Here is a 1,620-nt window from a genome sequence, read left to right as displayed (position 1 = left end):
CAGTTTTGTTTTGTGTAATTAACATCTTATTACATTATTATGGTATATTTGTCCTATTGATGAATGTAATGATACATTACTATTTACTGAAGTTCATACTTTATTCATATTTTCCTTGTTTTTACACAATGTTCATTGTTCTGTTCCAGAAATCCATCCGTGATACCACATTGTACTTACTTGTTATGTCTTTTTAGGTTCCTAATAGACAGTGGATTTTTTCAATACTTTGTTTTGGATGATGTTAACAGTATTTTTACAATATCTGTAATATGAATTTGTTTAACATTTTCCCCATGATTATAAGACTGAGGATTTAGGGTTTGGGGAGGAAGACCACAAGGATTAAGTGTCATTCTTTTCATAGCATATCAATATCAATACTAACATGACTTACCCCTGCTGTGAACCTCTATTGCCTGGCTGAGGAAGTCTGTGACCGGTTTTGTCACTGTCAGTTTACTAAAGGCGTCATTCTAGGCAGCTCACACTTAAGAGATAGGGAATTATGCTCCATTTCCCTGGGGGCAGAGTATCTACATAAATGACTTAAAATTATTTTGCATAGGATATCAATTTTTCTCATTTATTTAGCAATATACTATTTGTAGGTGCTTGATATATATTTTATACTCTGAGCTATAATACTAATTTCTTTATGTTGTTGCTCAAATTGTTCCAGCTTTAGCTGTAGATGTTATTGTAGGTAGCTCATCAGGCATGAACCGGGCAGGAGAGGGCTTTCCAACACAAACACACCAGGAATTGTCAGATGTCCATAAGGTGATGGGCAGGCAGTCGTTAACTGTGTCACTAAAATAATAATTGGTCACAGCTGGTGCCAGGGAAAGGCTGTCTCTTAATAGATAGAAACACGTGATACTGGTGATCGGCAGCTTCAGGATAAGATCTCAGGAGGTGGGTGGTGAGTGGGCTCAGGCATGCGCACTAAGAGGAAAAAATGGAGGCGTTTAACTGGCATATGACCTTCCTCCAGGAATGCTAGACTAGTAAGGGAAGAACACTTCAAATGAGCAGACATACAACTCCAGTAAACACACGCACATACTCAGTTCCCAAGTGCTATCATGCCACTGCACATGCAGGCAGCCTACCCCACGGGAAGAATCAGGGGAGAAAATGGCAAGACCACAGAAGTACGCCAACATATAAAGCCCAAAGTCAAAAGGTCAAACCACTCACTTGATCTTTCAGGTAGCTGCTTGGCCCTCTTCCATGCATACTGTACTTCCTGTCATTCCTGTCTTAAAGGTTTTTAATAAACTTTCACTTCTGCGTTGGTCTCTCCTTCTGTCTTATGCCCCTCAGTCCAATTCTTTCTTATGAGAAGGCAAGAATTGAGGTTGCTGCAGAACGTATGGATTCGCTGCTGGTAACGTAGGCAGATCTTTCAGTTGGCTCTTATTTCCTTTTGAGATACCCCTATCAGTGTGTGTGTGTGTGTGTGTGTGTGTATGTGTTTATGTACCTCCTTACTTTCTGCTACTAAAAGATTCTCCATGTTCTTCCTATGTATTTCTTGTCCCAGTGTAAAAACAGCCACAGTATTAGAAACCATAGCTATGTGCTAGATATGCTCATTGTTACTGAATCCATAGC

General features: G+C 39.5%; 1 long non-coding RNA gene across 1 annotated transcript; it reads right to left on the bottom strand.

Annotated features, from left to right (window-relative positions):
* Positions 1 to 565: 565 nt before the first annotated feature.
* LOC124900835 (uncharacterized) lies at positions 566 to 1,382 on the bottom strand. The gene is made up of 2 exons (XR_007058426.1): positions 1,204 to 1,382; positions 566 to 948 (listed from the first exon to the last, which is right to left on the bottom strand). It is a non-coding gene; the product is annotated as an uncharacterized LOC124900835 (long non-coding RNA).
* Positions 1,383 to 1,620: the final 238 nt, after the last annotated feature.

The sequence above is a fragment of the Homo sapiens genome, chromosome 4 (genome assembly GCF_000001405.40).
Source record: "Homo sapiens chromosome 4, GRCh38.p14 Primary Assembly".
Lineage (NCBI taxonomy): Eukaryota > Metazoa > Chordata > Mammalia > Primates > Hominidae > Homo > Homo sapiens.
This window is presented reverse-complemented; position numbering and strand designations above follow the sequence as displayed.